This window comes from Homo sapiens, chromosome 8, assembly GCF_000001405.40.
Source record: "Homo sapiens chromosome 8, GRCh38.p14 Primary Assembly".
NCBI lineage: Eukaryota > Metazoa > Chordata > Mammalia > Primates > Hominidae > Homo > Homo sapiens.
This window is the reverse complement of record NC_000008.11, coordinates 119,932,967-119,953,566: the sequence shown is the minus strand read 5'-3', so window position 1 is coordinate 119,953,566 and position 20,600 is coordinate 119,932,967. Positions and strand designations below refer to the sequence as shown.

The 20,600-nt window shown below is 43.0% G+C and overlaps 1 protein-coding gene across 2 annotated transcripts in view, besides 2 other annotated features; it reads right to left on the bottom strand.

The window, feature by feature from the left end:
• The window catches only part of DEPTOR (DEP domain containing MTOR interacting protein), a 177,197-nt gene that overhangs the window by 97,352 nt on the left and 59,245 nt on the right, over nt 1-20,600 (bottom strand). The gene's annotated exons all lie outside the window — the stretch shown is intronic.
• Nucleotides 925-1,004: an enhancer, noted in NCBI's record as "active region_27848". NCBI's record gives its function as "activates an Ori minimal core promoter by ATAC-STARR-seq in GM12878 lymphoblastoid cells {active_cell/tissue: GM12878}" and the evidence as "EXISTENCE:reporter gene assay evidence [ECO:0000049][PMID:35858748]".
• Nucleotides 18,522-18,601: a silencer, noted in NCBI's record as "silent region_19484". NCBI's record gives its function as "represses an Ori minimal core promoter by ATAC-STARR-seq in GM12878 lymphoblastoid cells {active_cell/tissue: GM12878}" and the evidence as "EXISTENCE:reporter gene assay evidence [ECO:0000049][PMID:35858748]".

Here is a 20,600-nt window from a genome sequence, read left to right as displayed (position 1 = left end):
CAGGCTGGAGTGCAGTGGCACAATCTTGGCTTACTGCAACCTCCACCTCCTGGATTCAAGTGATTAAGTGATTCTCATGCCTCAGCCTCCCAAGTAGCTAGGATTATAGGCGTGTGCCACCATGCCCAGCTAATTTTTGTATTTTCAGTAGAGACGGGGTTTCACCATGTTGGCCAGGCTGTTCTCAAACTCCTGACCTCAAGTGATCTGCCTGCCTTGGCCTCCCAAAGTACTGGGATTACAGGCGTGAGCCACCACGCCCAGCCTCCAGTCATATTTCTACACAACTGTTCATAATTTCTTGAACCCTAGCATAAAAATGGACAATTTCCCCTGTATCTTTGGGTCTTCATTTTAAAGGTTCCTATGTCACATAAAACTATCCATAAATATATATGCCTTTTCTCCCTTGGCCCCAACAGCAAGAAAGGGAAAGTTTTCCCTTGGCCTTGACAGCAAGAAAGTATTAATTAGGGAGAAATGCTCACATGAGCATTGATATTTTTAAGTACTATGCTATTGTCTATAGAGCACATGTTACATAGCTAAATTGATATAATTTTCATAATAATTTGGTTTGGAACTAATAAACAGCTGCTCAGTTAATATTTATGAGTAAAACTACTGCATACTGGAAAAGGTGAGGAACAAGGGAAGAAACAGTACTTTATAGTCTGACAACGAGGATCTTCTACCCTCCTTCACCAGCCTGCATATCAGACACTGAATAGAACATACTCAATCTCACCTTGGTTCCTTACTCATGGTGTTCCCTCACTTCTTCCCATTTTCACTTCCCTGAAGAAATTGAAACTACACGTCCTTTGCAGGGACATGGATGAAGCTGGAAGCCATCATCCCCAGCAAACTAACACAGGAACAGAAAACCAAACCCACATGTTCTCACTCATCAGTGGGAACTGAACAATGAGAACACATGGACACGGCCCGGGGGGAACAACACATACTGGGGCCAGTAGCAGTGGGAGGGCACGGTGCATGCAGGGCTTAATACCTAGGTGCCAGCAAACCACCATGGCACACTATTACCTATGTAACAAACCTGCACGTTCTGCACATGTATCTTGGAACTTTAGGGGCTCCTTGTACAGTAATACAGGTTGTTCACTGTACAAGGGAACCTAGGTTCAGGGGCTGAAATCCAACTCCAGGCCTTCATGACCAGTCCTGTGTCCTGTGTGGAGGTGAGGGGCTGCACCAGCATGACGGAAAGAGCAGAAGGTGCCTGGCTGTCATTCATATAAAGTGTCAATGGAGATAGTGGGACTATTTTAAATGGACAGATTAAGCCCTAAGGTCTCTGTGAACATATCCCAACTAAGGAGCAATCCATACAGGTCTTGCCCTCTCTTTGAATTTCCTCTCTTTTTTTTTCTTTTAAAGAAATTCTTTGACTTCCTCTTTTTTTTTGAGACAGAGTTTCACTCTGTCGCCCAGGTTGGAGGGCAGTGTTGTGGATCTCAGCTCACTGCAACCTCTACCTCCTGGGTTCAAGCAATTCTCTTGCCTCGGTCTCCCCAGTAGCTGGGATTACAGGCGTGTGCCTCCATGCCCAGCTAATTTTTGTATTTTTAGTAGACAGGGTTTTGCCATGTTGCCCAGGCTTGTCTTGAACTCCTGACTCAGGTAATCCACCCATCTCATCCTCTCAAAGTGCTGGAATTACAGCGTGAGCCACCACACTCAGCTTGAATTTCCTCTCAATTTTTACGTACTATTTTTATCCCTCCAGTGAAACTAGAACTTTCTGAAGAACAGGCACCATGTCTTAAATGTTTTTATTTCTTAGAAAACTGAGCCCAGGGAGGAGGTATACATTAGGTGCTCAACAAATATCTTCTAATCAACTGACTAAAAACTAAGTGAATACCATAAGCAACAGTAATGGAGGGTGTTATTTGTTTTTGGAAATAAAATCCCTTCCTCTTTGCTTGCTATTTCAAATTAGCTGAAAGAAAGATGAGAACTTTTTAGTGTTGGTTTTACACTCTGAAGAGACTGATATTCTGGAAAGTTGTAATTTTCACATTCCCCATGGGTTTTAGTGTTGCCTTCAACAGCCATTTTCAGAATCTGAATCAGCTTTAGATAGAAGCCAAGTGTGGATTCTCAGGCCATGGCCATCCTAAAAGGCCACATTCAACTATGGTTTCATCACCACAAAATTATATAAGAAGGAGAGAAACCAAGTGCTTGTACCCTCAATTCAAAACAATTCAAACCTCGGTGAGCCTTTTCAAACAAATGTCAAGGGAAGCTGGGTTCTAAAACCTATTATAAAGGCTCATTTGACAGGAATGGTTATTATTTATTCTGAATGCTTTCATAATTATTAGAAAATAGAAGAAATTGATACCAAAACAGAGAAAGAAAGGAGGAGTAAATAAAGATACTTAGGAGAGGTAAGATGAAGTGATGAAGGAAAACTGATGACAATCTGGGAAAATTGATGTGTGTGTGTGTGTGTGTGTGTTTGTGTGTGTGTATATTAGATAGTGTCTAACCCCGTCAGTGGTGTGACCACACCTCACTGCAGCCTTGACTTTCCAGGCTCAAGCAATCCTACCACCTTGGCCTCCCAAAGTGCTGGAGTTATAGGTGTGAGCCACTTCACCATGCCAAATATATTTAAAAGATATAAGAAACATGGCAGGGTGCTGTCGCTCATGCCTGTAATCCCAGCACTTTGGGAGGCCGAGGTGGGCAGATCTCTTGAGGCCAGGAGTTGGAGACCAGCCTGGCAAACATGGTAAAACCCCATCTCTACTAAAAATACAAAAATAATTAGCTGGGCATAGTGGTGCACGCCTGTAATCCCAGCTACTCGGGAGGTTGAGGCAGGAGAATTGCTTGAACGGGAGGCGGAGATTGCAATGAGCCGAGATTGCACCACTGCACTCCAGCCTGGGTGACAGAGAGAGATTCCATCTCAAAAAAGAAAAGAAAAAGAAGAAAAGAAAAGATTAGCAAGGTGTGGTGATGCACACCTGTAATCTCAGCTACTCAGGAGGCTGAGGCAAGAGAATTGCTTGAACCTGGGAGGTGAAGGCTGCAGTGAGCTGAGATCGCACCACTGCAGTCCAGCCTGGGCAACAGAGCAAGACTTCGTCTCAAAAAAAATTAAATTAAATTAAATTTAAATTTAAAAAAAGAAACAATGATAAAATATTGAACACAATGATCAGTAGGAACTGCCTTTCTACATAATAACAGGTTAGGTGATAGCAGGGCTTCTCTGTCCCTCATATTTGTGGAAGCAGTATAAAAAGACAAGAGAAGCAGTCTCCGCTTTCATTATTCAACCAAGGTGTTTTATATTATTATCTAAACACAAATTTTAAATCACTACTTTGGTATATCTATGGTCAACTGATTTCAACAAGGGTGCCAAGGCCATATAACGAGGAAAGGGTCGTCCTTTCGACAGATGGTGCAGGGACAGTTAGATAGTCACATGCAAAATACAGAAGTTGGATCCTTAACCTCATACTACACAGAAAAAATAAGCCTAAATAGATTTAAAAGCTAAATGTAAAAGCTAAAACTACCCTTCTTCTGGGATTACAGTCTGGTCGCAGTGATTCGCATCTGTAATCCCAGCACTTTAGGAGGCTGAGGTGGGTGGATCACCTGAGGTCAGGAGTTCAAGACCAGCCGGGCCAACATAGTGAAACCCTGTCTCTACTAAAAATACAAAAATTAGCTGGGCATGGTGGCGTGCACCTGTAATCCCAGCTACTCAGGAGGCTGAGGCAGGAGAATTGCTTGAACCCGGGAGGTGGAGGTTGCAGTCAGCCAAGATCACGCCACTGCACTCCAGCCAGGGTGACAAAGTAAGACTCTGTCTCAAAATAAAAACAAAAATAAAAACGGGCAAATGATCTGAATAAACTAAAGGAAATATAAAAATTAGCCAATAATTACATAGAAAGATTTGCATCAGGGAACTGCAAATAAAAACTATAATGACATAACATTTCATATCCGCTAGTTGGATAGAAACAAGACAGAGAACAAGTTTTGACAGTGATATAAACTAGAAGCCTCATACACTGTTGGTGGGAATTTGAAATGGTGCAGGCACTTCAGAAAATAGTCTCACAGTTCTTCAAATCGTTGAACACAGAGTTACTGTATGATCCCGCCATTCTACTTCTAGGTATGTGCCCAAGAGAAATGAAAACATATATCCACAGAAAACCTTGCATATGAATGTTCATAACGATATTATTTATAAAGGCCAAAGAGTAAATACAATCCACATGTCCATCAACTGATGAAACTGAAAATGTGGTGTATGCATACAAGGAATTAGTTGGCTATAAACAGAAGTGAAGTACTGAAACAAGCTACAACATGGAGAAATCTTGAAAATATTATACCAAGTGAAAGAAGACAGTCACAAAAGGCCATACATTGTATTATTCCATTGATATAAAATTATCAAAATACAGAAATGTGGTCGGGCATGGTGGCTCATGCCTGTAATCCCAGCACTTTGGGAGGCCAAGGCGGGTGGATCACCTGAGGTCAGGAGTTTGAGACTGCCTGGGCAACATGGTGAAACCCTGTCTCTACTAAAGTTACAAAATTAGCTGTGTGTGGTGGCGCATGTCTGTAATCCCAGCTATTTGGGAGGCTGGGGCAGGAGAATTGCTTGAACCTGGGAGGTGGAGGTTGCAGTGAACTGAGATCACGCCATTGCACTCCAGCCTGGGCAACAAGAGTGAAACTCCGTCTCAAAAAAAAATAAATAAAAATTAAAATTAAAAAAATAGAGAAATGTATAGAGACAGAAAGTAGATTAATGTTTGCTTAGGGATGAGGGGGTAGATGAAGGCATAGGGGAGTGATAGCTATGGGGTAAGGGGTTTCTTTTTGAAGTGATGAAAATGCTCTGAAATTGACTGTCGTAATGGTTGCATACATCTGTGATTATACTATAAACAAAGTTTTTAAAAAGTATAAAATTAACTTATATGCTTTAAATAGGCGAATTGTATGGTATGTGAATTATGTCTTCATAAAGCTGTTAAAAATCAGTATTTAGTACTTTCATTTGTTCATTCATTTAATAAATATATTTTTTAATTCTTATTTTTATTTTAGTTTTTATTTATTTATTTTATTTTTTGAGACAGAGTCTCACTCTGCCACCCAGACTGGAGTGCAGTGGCACGATCTTGGCTCACTGCAGCCTCCATCTCCTGGGTTCAAGAGATTTTCCTGCCTCAGCCTCCCAAGGAGCGGGATTACAGGCACCTGCCATGATGCCTAGACCATTTAAATATCTATTGAGCATCATCTGTCTCCCAGGATATGCATAAATGAAAAGACGTGGCCCTTACTCTTAAGTTGCCTACTATCAGATGGGGAAGCAAATGTTAAAAAACCTATGTGCAAGACAGATAAATGCTGTAACAGAGGTACAGGTACATACAAGATGAAGGGGAAGCAAGAGAATGAAATACTTAAGTGTCAGAGGGCACTTTCAAGTTCCAAGTTAAGAAGAAATGGAAGTTGGTCCTTCGAGATGGTGAGAGGACACAGGATCAAGGAGCAAGTACAAATGCATGGTGCAAATGAGAGGTCAGGACAAATCATGTGGTACTGGGCAGGGAGAGGATGGGGGAGGGCAGGAGAGCAAAGCACAGGGAGCTAAGCATGGGCAGCAGGTAAAGATTAGGTCAGAAATGCTTCATTGCCTATAGGTGATAGCCATGGAAAAATTCTGAGCTCAAGAGTGTCAATCAGGATAAAGATGACAGCATAATGATCCTTTTGTACTGTGATTATCCATCACCTTTTCACTTTCATTATGGCAACAGTGCTTTCAGTTCAGCAAGTGTCTCAGGCACATACTGGATACGCCGCCCTGTGCTAGTCACTGGGAATATAAAGATAAGGCAAAATTTCCACTTTGGAAGATCAGGAGGAAGCAAAGTAAACAAACCTCTTGAAAGCTGGGAACTGCTCTTATATATAATGATTTCACCCACTGGCTAGAAACCAGAAGGGGTTCATCAGAGCCAAAGCATCAGTGACTAACTTCAGTCTAGGGTCGATGGGAAAAAGAAACAGCAAGCAGGAGCCACTGGTGTGCAGGCAGATGCTTGGTGACTCTCAACCATCTCAGCATGGACTAGGAGAAAGGAATGGCTTGCAAAAGCAGAATATGATTGAAAGGGAAAACTTCACAGTTCTTTCTGAATACATCTGTCCTAGCACAGGAAGGAAATATAATGAGTACAAAACAGTACTCCAGAGCCACACAAAAGGTGTTGGGATGATCTGGTCAATTACCTTGTCCCCCTTTCTTGCCTATGAACATCCATGGCTCCGGAGAGGTAGCGGCAGGAGGGAAGCCATCCTAGGACTTCTAAACTGCAGTTGGGTGCTATGATCCTGAGCTGCTTCTTGTACATAATGAGGACAATAATACTTACCTTAACAGAATCATTGTGAAAATTAGAGCTAATCTGTTTAAAGCATCTAGCATATTGCCTAGCATAAAGTAGCATGAACAAGTGATATACAAGGTTCATACACACACGCCCCTCAGAGCTGACCCTTGCAGAGGCTGGATGACAGTCTGAACTGGCCAGAATAACAAATTCCAGGCATCTGGAGAGGGTGAGGGAAGAAGGGCAGCATCAGGTGGCAGGTGAAACAGAGAAAAGCCAAGAAGTTAAGTTACTTAAAAGAATGTTTTATATTCTAGAAGAAACTAACACCAATGCAAAAGTTAATTTTGTTTAGCATATTAAACCTTGGTAGAACACAGAGAACTTTTTTTTTTATTTTATTTTTTGAGACAAAGTTTCGCTCTTGTTGCCCAGGCTGGAGTGCAATGGTACAATCTCGGCTCACCGCAACCTCCACCTCCCAGGTTCAAGTGATCCTCCTGCCTCAACCTCCCGAGTAGCTGGGATTACAGGCATGTGCCACCACACCCGGCTAACTTTGTATTTTTAGTAGACATGGGGTTTCAGCATGTTGGTCAGGTTGAACTCCTGATCTCCAGTGATCTACCACCTTGGCCTCCCAAAGTACTGGGATTACAGGCATGAGCCACTGCACCCGGCCTCAGAGAACATTAAAAAAAAAAAAAAACCAAACACTATTTGGGTGGTGGTTCCACAGGTATGTTCAGTTTGTGAAAATGAATTGAGCTGCACACTTATGATATGTTCAGTTTATGGAGATTACATTTCAATAAATTTAACTTTATCATTAAAATTTAATTACAAATTTAACTTTAATAAAGTTAAAAATGTTATTCAGATTTTCTTTCTTTCTGGACTGAAACACTCTTTTGTTAGGGGGTCTGAAATTATTAAATGTTTTTTGTCAATTTGGTGCCTTTTTCCATTTGGTGGAACAATGCCTTTGTTTTCCCTCCGAAGCTCTGTGTGAAGGGACTGCAATTAAGCGGGGATGTTTTCATTTAGCAAACAAAGCAAGAAAAACAATACAGCAACTACACCCCTTGGAATCATCTCTGCGCTTAACAACAAAGCGCCCGACCAACCGAGGGAGCCTTGGTTTGCGTGGACAAAGCCTTTCATCATGGAAGAATATCCTCCTCCTTTAAAACCTCCCAGCCATGCCTTCCACTGGTATCACTCTTCAAATATCCACTTTTACTTCAATACGTGCCTCTTCTCTCAGAAGGCCCCAACCCCGTTGCTGCTCTGTCTGTGTCTTAGAACGTTTAGCACAGCCTAACGCTGACCCGTGTGCCTTCATCCATTGGCTCTAGAATCTCCACACTTAAAAATAAACAAGAGGGATTTCCTCTAGGAAGGGCTCTGAGTTTTAGTCTCTCTTCCAGATGGAATCAACTGACCCTCTGTGGCAGCTAGGGTTCTTGGATTCAAAACATGCTGAACATGGCATTCAATTTCTATAGGTTCACTGCAAGGAATTTAACTTTTTTATTTTTAATGCAGAATTGTGGGAAAGTGAAGAGCCTATGCCATGAGCAACTGTTGGCCAGAATCACTCTTTAGCAAATGGAGTATTGAAAGCATCTACTTAGCCCATCTCAAATTAACCTTCCTTATTTGTAAATTGGTGATGAAAATATTTTCTTCTTAGAGGTGTAGGAAGGATTAAATGAACTAATATGTAAAAAATACTTAGGAAGGTGCCTAGAACATAGAAATCCTCAGTAAATGATGGCTAAGATTATTATTCTTATCTTCTGAATTTTTATGATCAGAACCCACAACCAATAAACACAAATAGAGTGACCTAGAATAATCAATATCTTCTACTAGTTTTACTGAAATTTCAACATTCTTCAGGTTAGGAAAAGGAGGAAGGGACTGCCTATTGATTTCTTTCCTAATTAAGAATTACCATGCATTCATCTATCTATTCATCTCTTCAACAAACATTTATGGGGCATATGCTATGTATGTATACCAAAGTTGTGTGAGGCCTCAAGGTGCATGACCTCAGAGAGCTTATAGTTCAGCTGGAGAGACTGACACATCAAGACTCAATCACCCTGTTGAGATGGCTGCTGTGCTGGGACCCAAGGTGATACAGAAGCAGAGAGGAAGGGTGTCAAAATAATTCATTATAGGCTGGGCGCAGTGGCTCACGCCTGTAATCCCAGCACTTTGGGAGGCTGAGGTGGGCAGATCATGAGGTCAAGAGATTGAGACCATCCTGGCCAACATGGTTAAACCCTGTCTCTACTAAAAATACAAAAAATTAGCTGGGCTTGGTGGTGCGCACCTGTAGTCCCAGCTACTCAGGAGGCTGAGGCAGGAGAATTGCTTAAACCCAGGAGGCGGAGGTTGCAGTAAGCCAAGATTGTGCCATTGCACTCCAGCCTGGTGAAACAGCAAGACTCTGTCTCAAAAAAAAAAAAAAAAGAAAAGAAAGAATTACCATGCAATCATTTATCCATTCATGTCTTCAACGAACATTTATGGGGCATATGCTATGTACGTATACCAAAGTTGTGTGAGGCCTCAAGGTACATGACCTCAGAGAGCTTATAGTCAAGCTGGACAGACTGAAATATCAAGACTCAATCACCCTGTTGAGATGGCTGCTGTGCTGGAACCCAAGGTGATACAGAAGCAAAGAGGAAGGATGTCAAAATAATTCATTATAATCCAGCCATATTCCATGCTCTTACAACAGTGGCCACTAAGTGTATCACGTGCCAACTTCAACCATCACATCATGCATAGTACACAATCAGAAGAAAACAAAACAAAACAAAAAGAGCAAGTGGCTTTTCCATTTATAGAGTGTGGATAATTCTGCCTGCCTGTCCACTCAAGGAGATGGGAGATGAACTCGTCTCACTTTCCAAGTGGATTTCACAGGCTCCCAGCCAGAAATAACAAGGCTATGCAAATGGGTTAATAAAAAAGACAATTTAGGCCCAGAGCGGTGGCTAACGCCTGTAATCCCAGCACTTTGGGAGGCCGAGGTGGGCAGATCACGAGGTCAGGAGACCGAGACCATCCTGGCTAACACGGTGAAACCCTGTCTCTCCTAAAAAAAATACAAAAAATTATCCGGGCATGGTGGCGGGCGCCTGTAGTCCCAGCTACTCGGGAGGCTGAGGCAGGAGAATGGCGTGAACCCGGGAGGCGGAGCTTGCAGTGAGCCAAGATTGAGCCACTGCACTCCAGCCTGGGCAACAAAACGAGACTCCGTCTCAAAAAATAATAATAATAATAAAATAAAAATTAAAAAGACAGTTTATAATAAAGGAACTACCAAAGCTATGGGTAGGGTTAAGGGAAATTATAAAGGACGGTGAAGCTCCTGGTCTGACAGAACGGGGTGGGGTGGTCATTAACAACTTTAGGCCTCAGGATTGTAGAGAGAGACCAGTTTCCAGAGCCCAAAGGGGACAGATGTTAACGGGAGGGCTGCATGACAGTAACCGTGACTGATGTGGTTTGGCTCTGCGTCCCCACCCAAACTCACCTCGAATTGTAATCCTCATAATCCCCACATGTCGAGGGAGGGACCTGGGTGGGAGGTGACTGGATCATGGGGGCAGTTTCCCCCATGCTGTTCTCGTGATAGTGAGTGAGTTCTCACGAGATCTGATGGTTATATAAGTGTTTGAGAGTTCCTCCTACTATCTCTCTCACCCTCACCTGCTGTCATGTAAGATGTGCCTGCTTCCCCTTCTGCCATGATTGTGTTTCCTGAGACCTCCCCAGTCATGCAGAACTGTGAGTCAATTAAACCTCTTTTCTTTATAAATTACCCAATCTCTGGCAGTTCGTTACAGCGGTGTGAGAATGGACTAATACAGTGGCCTTCAATGGCAGGGAGGAAGCAGGGGAATAAATACGCTCACCCCAATCTCCTTCCTTCCACCTACTTCCTACTAGTGCCTCCCACTGACTGAGCTGAACCAGAAGCCAAAGGGCAATGGACTCCGGTGAAACCGTCCATGTAAGTCAGCCTCTTGGGGACACAGCAGGTTGGAAAAGGATAGAGAATGGATCTGGAAGGACAAACAGAAATGTCCCACATACAAGCTGAATATCTCACCATGCTGAATACAATTCTAGTATAGGAAGGCATGTGTTTTTTATGCAGCTTGGGTAGCACAAGGATACTTTAGACTACATGCATTGCATTTTTCCTTGTTTATTAGAAACCTAGCATATCCTGCATTAGATGAAACTCCACTGGATTTTATCATGTCCTCACAATATGCCTGTGAAGTATGCATTTTCTTCCCATTTTCCCATGAAAAAACAGAGACTCAGAAAAGCTGAATGTCTTGCTAATAAGGGGCAGGATAAGAACTCTGACATGTCCTTCTTCAACTCCAGAAAACTTAAATGATTTCTGCATTCTATCAAGTTGAAAAATTACTACAGAGATGGATTAGCAAAATCAGTGTTACAGAAACTTGGTTCATAGCCCTGACATTACATAGGATTAGGAAAACTTGGCGGAAGTAGCCAGCACAGTCAATCTCCACCATCAATGAGTCCAGTCTACCATTCAAATAGCAATATATTTACCTTTAAATCAAGTCACGGCCGGACGCGGTGGCTCACGCCTGTAATCCCAGCACTTTGGGAAGCCAGGGTGGGCAGATCGCCTGAGGTCAGGAGATCGTGACCAGCCTGGACAACACTGCGAAACCCCGTCTCTACTAAAAATACAAAAATTAGCCAGGCGTGGTGGCACACACCTGTAGTCCCAACTACTCACAAGGTTGAGACAGGAGAATTGCTCGAACTCACCAGGAGGTGGAGATTGCAGTGAGCCAAGATCATGCCACCATACTTCAGCCTGGGTGGCAGAATGAGACTCCGTCTCAAAAAATCAATCAATAAATCAATAAAAAATAAATCAAGTCACTTCTACATACTAAGCCAGAGCTAGAAATCTGCAGATGACAATCTAGGGCTGATGGCTTCTGGCAAGCACAGCTGGCCGGCTGCCTGTTTTGCATGTTAACAAATTGCCATATATGTTACAGCAGGGGGAGGGGGGCATTACAAAGAAACGGTAAGAAGGATGTGATTTCCAAAACTAGACCCAAAAAGTTGGCATGAGCCAAGTGACAGACACTTTTTCCCCCACTCATTTAAAAATTGATTAAGCTGCATACCGTTTATCTTTATTTAGTGGGTTCATTACTGTTGCTGCCTGGGACTGAAGGAAAAAGTTAAGATCATGGGTCCTAGAGCTGGAAACCAGGGTTTGAAGATGCTCTCCCACACTTTCCAGCTGTGTGAATTTAGGCAAGTTAGCTAAACTCTCTAGACTCAATTTCCCTATTTTCCAAAGGGAGAATAACCATATTTATCTTCTTGGTTTAGAACGAAGCTTTTAGAAGATACTTGTAAAGTTCTTGGTATACAATAAGCATCAGTAAGGGCTACTCGCCCTGGGTTTGCTGCCTTCATCATTATCAACATCTCCAGGCTTACTCTGCTATCTCTTCAACTCCTCTGATCAAAAACATCTGGCCCCAACTGTTTAGATATCATTTTGGCTTTCTCTTGCTTGCCAGTACACTGATAAGATAAGCCTGTATGTTCCCCACTCCCTGCCTTTTTGTGTGTTTTAAAATATTGATTTACTTTATTTTTTATTGTGGTAAAATATACACAACATAAAATTTACCATTCTAACCTTTTTTTTTTTTTTTTTTTTTTTTGAGATGGAGATTTGCTCTTGTTGCCCAGGCTGGAGTGCAATGGTGCGATCTCTGCTCACTGCAATCTCTGCCTCCCAGGTTCAAGTGATTCTCTCGCCTCAGCCTCCCAAGAAACTGGGATTACAAGCATATGCCACCATGCCTGGCTAATTTTTTGTATTTAGTAGAGATGGGGTTTCACCATGTTGGTCAGGCTGGTCTTGAATTCCTGACCTCAGGTGATCCACCCACCTCAGCCTCCCAAAGTGCTGGGATTACAGGCATCTGCCACCACGCCCAGCCCCATTTTAACCATTTTTAAGTTCAGTAGCACGAAGTACACTCATAGCAGTGTACAACCATCAGCACCATCCCTCTCCACAACTTTTTCATCTTCCTAAACTGTACCTTTAAACCCATTAAACAATGACTCCCTATTCCCCCCTTTCCCCTGCTCCTAGCAACCACCATTCTACTTTCCATCTCTATGAATTAACTGTTCTAGGTGCCTCACACAAGTAAGATCATATAATATTTATCCCTTTTGTGATGAGCTCATTCCACCTAGCATAATGTCTTCAAGGTCCATCTCTGTTGTGAAGCATGTGTCAGAATAATTTTTCTTTTTTTTAAAATTATTATTCTTTTTTTAATTTGAGACGGAGTTTCACTCGTCACCCACGCTGGAGTGCAATGGCGCGATTTCGGCTCACTGCAACCTCCCGGGTTCAAGTGATTGTCCTGCCTCAGCCTCCTGAGTAGCTGAGATTACAGGCACCCACCACCACGCTCGACTAATTTTTGTATTTTCAGTAGAGACGAGGTTTTGCCAAGTTGGCCAGGCTGGTCTCAAACTCCTGACCTCAGGTTATCCACCCACCTTGGCCTCCCAAAGTGCTGGGATGACAGGCGTGAGCCACTGTGCCCGGCCATATTTTTCCTTTTTAAGGCTGAATAATATTCCATTATATGTGGCTATCACATTTTGTTTATTCATTCATCAGTGAACACTTGGGTTACTTCCACTTTTTGGCTATTCTGTATAATGCTGTTTAGAAATATGGGTGTGCCAATATCTCTTCAAGATCCTGCTTTTCTACTTTTGGGTACATACCCAAAAGTAGGATTGCTGGATCATGGTAATTACATGTTTTTTTTGCTTGGTTTTGTTTTGTTTGAGATGGAGTTTCACTCTTGTTGCCCAGGCTGGAGTGTAATGGTGCCATCTTGGCTCACTGCAACCTCCACCTCCTGCGTTCAAGCGATTCTCCTGCCTCAGCCTCCCAAGTAGCTGGGATTACAGGCATGCACCACCAAGCTTGGATAATTTTGAATTTTTAGTAGGGACAGAGTTTCTCCATGTTGGTCAGGCTGGTCTCGAACTCCCAACCTCAGGTGATCTGCCTGCCTCGGCCTCCCAAAGTGCTGGGATTACAGGTGTGAGCCACTGCGCCTGGCCTGGTAATTACATGTTTACTTTTTTAAGACACTTCTATACCATTTGTCATAACTGCTGCACCATCTTACATTCCCACCAGCAATGCACAAGGGTTCTAATTTCCCCACTTACTCACCAACACAAATTTTGTTTGTTTGTTTGTTTAAAATAATAGCCACACTGGCCGGGTGTGGTGGCTCACACCTGTAGTTCCAGCACTTTGGGAGGCTGAGTCAGGCGGATCACTTGAGGTCAGGATTTCAAGATCAACCTGGCCAACATGGCAAAACCCCACCTCTACTAAAACCGGGCATGATGGCACATGCTTATACTCCCAGCTATTCGGGAGGCTGAGGCAAGAGAATCACTTGAACCCGGGAGGTGGAGTTTGCAGTGAGCCGAGATCGCACCAATGCACTCCAGCCTGGGTGACAGAATAAGACTCTGGCTCAAAAACGAAAAAAGCCATACTAATAGATGTGAAGAGGTTGCCTCCCACCACTTGTTTTCCAATAGCTCTGTGTTCACACATGCATTTTACCACCAGTCCCTTGGTATAACCAAATATGTAGACACTGACTAGTTGTTCTACTCTGAGGAAAGAGGACTGAGCTCAGCTACCTGGATGAAACTAGACATGAGGCTGCCTCCTGAGACGGCCCTTCCCCGGCAGACCAAGCTTGCCGCTACAGAAGATGAGCGAGCCAACAAAGTTAGGTGACCTAGGGCTGGTTATTTGCAACATGCAAGCACACTCTTTGACATACTTTAAATGACACTTATAATTTATGAGACATTGTTTACATAGAGAAATTATACAGTATAAACTTTTTGTTGAAATTTAGAGTTATAAAACACTGAGTTTGCTTTATGTAGTCTCTTCAGTCCCCAAGACCCCTGATGGGCAAATTACAAAGCATCTGAATAACCTGTCAGGCTAGACAACTTTGCATGGCTTCCTATAAAGAAATTAGAGAAACACAGAGAGAGAGAGAGAGAGAGAGAGAGAGAGCAAGAAGGAACACAATGAAAAGAAAGAAAGAGAAAGAAAGAGAGAAAGAGAAAGAGAGAGAGAGGGGAAGGCAGAGAGGGAGAAACGGGGAGGGAGGGAGGGAGGAAGGAAGGAAAGAAGGAAGGCAGGCAGGCAGGCTGGGTGTGGTGGCTCACACCTGTAATCCCAACAATTTGGGAGGCCGAGGCAGGCAGATCACTTGAGGCCAGAACTCTGAGACCAACCTGGCCAACCTGGCAAAACGCTCTCTACTGAAAATAAACCATTAGCCAGGTGTGGTAATGCACACCTGTAATCCCAGCTTCTGGGGTGGCTGAGGCAAGACAATCACTTGAACCCAGGAGGCAGAGATTGCAACCAGCCAAGATTGTGCCACTGTACTCCAGCCCGGGCAACAGAGCAAGATTCTGTCTCAATTAAAAAAAAATTGAAAAAAGAAAGATACAGATTTCAGGAGCATCTAACAAACATGTATTTCTAGGTGAAAAATTTCCCATGGCTCTAAGCTGCACATGAACAATAAAACCACTTAAATTTTGTTCTAAAGTTATTAAATACCCTGTGGGAAGAGATGATGGCCCTTTAAAATTAGCATAGGCTTAAAACTTTTAAAACTAACTTCTTTTCTGAAATCTTTCATATAATCCATTTTCAAATTTCATGTTTATGACATTTACTTATAAAAGTTAAACAGAGAAACCTATAAGGTAGTCTTGATTACACAAAAAATAAAGAAATAAGAGGATTGGTGAGGATAATTACAGTTACTCCAATGATCAGCTACGGAATCCAATTTACTTGTACATTTTGCGGTAGTTGTTAGAAGATAACTCTTTATGGGTCTCTCAGATTTCTTTATGTCTTATAAGCAGAAGCACTGACAGCTTTTGTTCCAGACTAGCTTTTCAAGAATTTTTGTAAAGTGAACAGACCTAAGAGATAAAGGTAGTATTTCTTTCTGGAGCAACAGGGCAGATTTGTTTTCTGCCAGCATAATGAAGATAACATCTTCCTTATCTCAGACAGAGGGCAAGTTTTCTTGAAGACCATTATAAAATATTCAGGTTCCTGAAGCTTAGGGTTCCTCTGCTGTCACACAGCCCACTGCATGTGCAGGTATCACTTGCCCCTCACTGTGCTGTTCTGTGAGAACTATGGCTTGGGAATTGATTCATTAAAATTGATGATACTCTGGCTGTTGCTCTTCCTGAGAGTAATGAGCTGTCTTTGTCCAGAGGTCTTCTGTTTTCTGCCAGTATCCACAAAATGGTGGCAGCAAACTTGTGAGCTTGCAAGTAGGGTAAAAATCTCAGACTCCTAACAGTTCTTGACATTAGTTACATAGTGTAAACATCTCTGGTCACACAAACAGAAAGTTACAAAAGGTAACAACTTTAACCCACTCACATTGCAATCTTAGGACATTGTTCAAATAAACCAAGAAGGCCGGGAACATTCATTCTAAAATTATATGTAACCACTAGGGCAGCACAAGTAAACTGTGAAAGTGCATATCTATGCATATATTAGAAAATATGTATATGTTTTGAGACAGTCTTGCTCTGTCACCCAGGCTGGAGTGCAGTGGTGCAATCATGGGTCACTGCAACTCTGCCTCCCGGGTTCAAGCGATTCTCCTGCCTCAGCCTCCCAAGTAGCTGGGACTACAGGCACCCATCACCACGCCTGGCTAATTTTGGTATTTTTAGTAGAGACTGGGTTTCACCATATTGGTCAGGCTAGTCTTGAATTCCTGACCTCGTGATCCGCCTGCCTCGGCCTCCCAAAGTGCTGGGATTATAGGCGTGAGCCCGGCCAGAAAATATTTTTATTACAGTTTGCAATTTGTAAAACTCAGGATCTCAGTTTAAGAAACATTTCTTTTTAAAAAATTACTTTATTTATTTATATTATTATTTTTTAGACAGAGTCTCACTCTGTCACCCAGGCTGGAGTGCAGTGGTGTGATCTCAGCTCACTGCAACCTCCGCCTCCCAGGTTCAAGCAATTCTCCCACCCCAGCCTCCCAAGTAGCTGGGACTACAGGTGCCCACCACCATGCCCAGCTAATTTTTGTAGTTTTAGTAGAGATGGGGTTTCACCAGGTTGGCCAGGCTGGTCTCAAACTCCTGATGTAAAGTGATCTACCCACCTTGGCCTCCCAAAGTGCTGGGATAACAGGTGTGGGCCACTACGCTTGGCCTTATTGTAAAATTAATAGAAACAGTCTCACTATGCTGCCCAGGCTGGTCACCTGAAAAACACCTCTATACTGGAAATAGAACAAGATGGAGACAAAAGCTTGAAGACTTTTTTTGTTTGTTTTTCACTCCAGTTCCTTACCTAGGGTCTATCTCAGTCATTAAACCTCTCTCCACAGCTCATGTCCCCCATTTTTATAATGGGAATAATTATGCCTGCTGGATATAACTCACAGAGTTGTACAGAGGATCAAACAAATTAATGTATATGATGGTTTGTGGGCTCTAAAGAGGCCAGACAAGGTGAATTCTGGCTATTGTTGCTTGTTATTAAAAGCAAGCTCTGTGTAGCTCATGGTACAGGCTCAGCAGCTTATAGCGATCACAACATGTAGAGCCCTTTGTTCATTCAACAAATATTTATTGTCCCAGGCACTGGGAGAGAACAGGAGAAAGATCCTAACACACAGGGTAGAGAAACTTCTGATAAGATAAAACACGCAGAAGGGCTTTGCCTCTTTGGATGTACTCTCTCCCTTTTATTTCTCTTTGGTCCTGTGGAAAAGAAATTGAAGGAAGCAGTAGGAATTCAATAGACATCTAATGGCATACGGGCTTGTTAAGCCAATTCTTCATCAGGTCTAAACTCCTAAGCAGGATAAAGAGACTAATAGTAGCTGGAGATAGAAACTCCTGCTGCTGAGAAAATCAAGGCCCTTTGGATAAAAAAAAAAAAAAAAAAAACAACTAGACTAATGTGTCTATGAACCAGATTAAGAGGGGATTTAGTTCCATATCAAAACTGAGGTTGAATTAAAATTAAGAAGTCTCTTCTAAGTTTGAAGATAAAATCGAAGTTAGTTTAAAATATACATTTCAACTACTGGGTTTAGTGAGGAAAAACCAAATTGTACCTCAAACACACACTCACTTTTATAGCTGATTTTATTTGTTACTATACAGAGGACTTGATAATCCTGAATTCAACTTTTTTCTTTTCTTTTCTTTTCTTTTTTTTTTTTTGAGATGGAGTCTTGCTCTGCTGCCCAGGCTAGAGTGCAGTGGTGCGATCTTGGCTCACTGCAACCTCCGCCTCCTGGGTTCAAGCAATTTTTCTGTCTCAGCCTCCTGAGTAGCTGGGATTACAGGTGCATGCCACCACGCCTGGCTAATTTTTGTATTTTTAGTAGAGACAGGGTTTCACCCTGTTGGCCAGGCTGGTCTTGAACTCCTGACCTGAAGGGATCTGCCCGCCTCGGCCTCCCAAAGTGCTGGGTTTACAGGTGTGAGCCACCGTGTCTGGCCAGCTTTTTTCTTAAATAAATCTATTTTGCCAATCAAGTTTTGCAGTGGGGAACATGCACTCAAAACCCTTTCTACCATCTTAAGGCCGCGGATAGAGATTCAACATTGTTCTTTTAAGTTATGAGTACTATCCTGCTTATAAAGGTTTCCTTTGAGAAGTAAAAATTGTACTGTTTGGGAAAATGTGACTTATGTTCATGTGTTGAGTGTCTTGGGTACTTGTGCCCATGCAAAATTAAGTGGAGAGCTGTAAGCCCCTCCCGAAGAGACAAAATGCTATGCCTTATTCTTTGCACCCTCAGTCCATTTGCTGGCCATAATGAAGACTCAGCAGAGCTTAGAGCTTGTTGATGAAAGTGTATTGTGCCCTGAATGTACTTAGATGAATTCCTCAAAATGACAACATCAGGGCATCAATCCATAAGCACACACTCTTTCTCATACTCCCCCACAGCTGGCAGCAGGAGGTGAGCAATAGCATACACTCATATCTGATGCGGGCCCTGTCCTGTGTGCATACTCATTAGTCCATTTTACTCCCACAACAAGTCTATGAGGTCAGGATGGTCAGTATCTCCATTTACTAGATAGGCAAATGGAGACAGAGAGAGAGAAAGCCACATGCCCCAAGGCATGGAGCCAAGATTCACACCCAGGTAGCTGGGCTCCTGGGCTGTTATCTGCTATGCAAAGCTGCATCTTAAAATAATTTGAGAAAACAAGAATAGGTGTCACGTATTTATATTATTATTTACTACTCTAATAACAACAGCTAACATTTCCTAGGCTCTCAGTCCATGTCAAGCAGTGTGCTCAGCACTGTACAGATGGATCTCGGTCAGTCCTCCCAACAGCCTTTTCCAGCAGTGGGTCCCAGCCTTATCTCCACGGTAGACTGCAGATCACAGAGATTTAGTCAGCCTGCTGAAGGGCACAAAGCAAGCAAGTTGTGAAGCTGGGATGGAAGACCCAGGCTGTGTGACTCCAGAGCCTACAGCCATTGCCACTCACTGTGCAGGACGATCCATGCCTCCAGTTCCTCTAAAGCTTTCCTCACTCACACTGGGGCAACTTGAAAGGGCCAGCTTCTTGCTTCTTCATTAGTGTTTGTTCCAGCATGTCTCAAGTAAGGTAACTAGAGTGACATACATACTAAGAGCCAGCAGAGTTACTGAAATTGTAGTTTTGAGACCTGGGTTTATCCTACCAACGAGCAGACTGAGAAACACCACTATGGGTTAGAAAGCCAGGGTACCCAGGCCGGGCGCAGTGGCTCACGCCTATAATCCCAACACTTTGGGAGTCCGAGGCGGACAGATCACTTGAGGCCAGGAGTTTGAGATCAGCCTGGCCAACAAGTTAAAACCCCATCTCTATTAAAAATACAAAAAATTAGCCAGGTATGGTGGCACACGCCTGTAGTCCCAGCTACTTGGGAGGCGGAGGCATGAGAATCGCTTGAACCTAGGAGGTGAAGGTTGTAGTGAGCCGAGATCATGCCACTGCACTTCAGCCTGGGTGATAGAGTGAGACTCTTATAAATAAAAATAAAAATAAAAAAGAAAGCCAGGGTTCCCAAAAATCAACATGGTTCAGCAAAACCTCAGTCAGAAACCACAAAGTTTCACAAAGTCCTATTTATAACACAGAACAAACAAGCAAGAAAAGAGCCAAAAAGAAATACTGACAATACGCCCACCCCCTCAGAGCTGCTGAGACAGCAGCAGCCCCAACACCTGCCACCCCAGGTTCATGTCTCACCCTGTCCCTCGCAAACTGTGTCAACATCACATATAAATTACTTAAATGCATTGGATCCCAGATGCTCCCTCTGAAAATGGGCCAGTAAAGTAATGCTCCATCTATTTTAAAAAGAAGCTTAGGTAAAATAATCTAAAGGAAGTGCATTAAGAAGCTTAACTTACAAATAATAAACATTGTGTGTGTGTGTGTGTGTGTGTGTGTGTGTGTGTGTGTGTGTGTGTCTTGCTCTGTCTCAAAGAAAGGGGGCTTGAACTTCCCAGGTTCAAGCGATTCTCCTGCCTCTCAGCCTCCCAAGTAGCTGGGATTACAGGTGCCAGCCACCACGCCCAGCTAATTTTTATATTTTTAGTAGAGATAGGGTTTCGCCATGTTGGCCAGACTGGTCTCGAACTCCTGCCCTCTGGTGATCTGCCCACCTCAGCCTCCCAAGGTGCTGGGATTACAGGCATGAGCCACCACATATTACTTGAGCCACCTTCACAATTAACTGGAAGCCACAGGAGTCAGTGATTTAGGGAAAGGGGTGAGAGCGGCATGAGTCCTCTAGGCAGAGGGAACAGCACATGCAGAAGTATATCAGATTGCCACTTCCCCACTCCCTCCTCTCCAACGGCCTCCCATTACATTTAAAATCACCAGTTCTTACTGTGGTTTTAAGGGCCTTATTATGAACTGGCCCTGTCTCATCTCCTGCTACTCTCCTCTTTA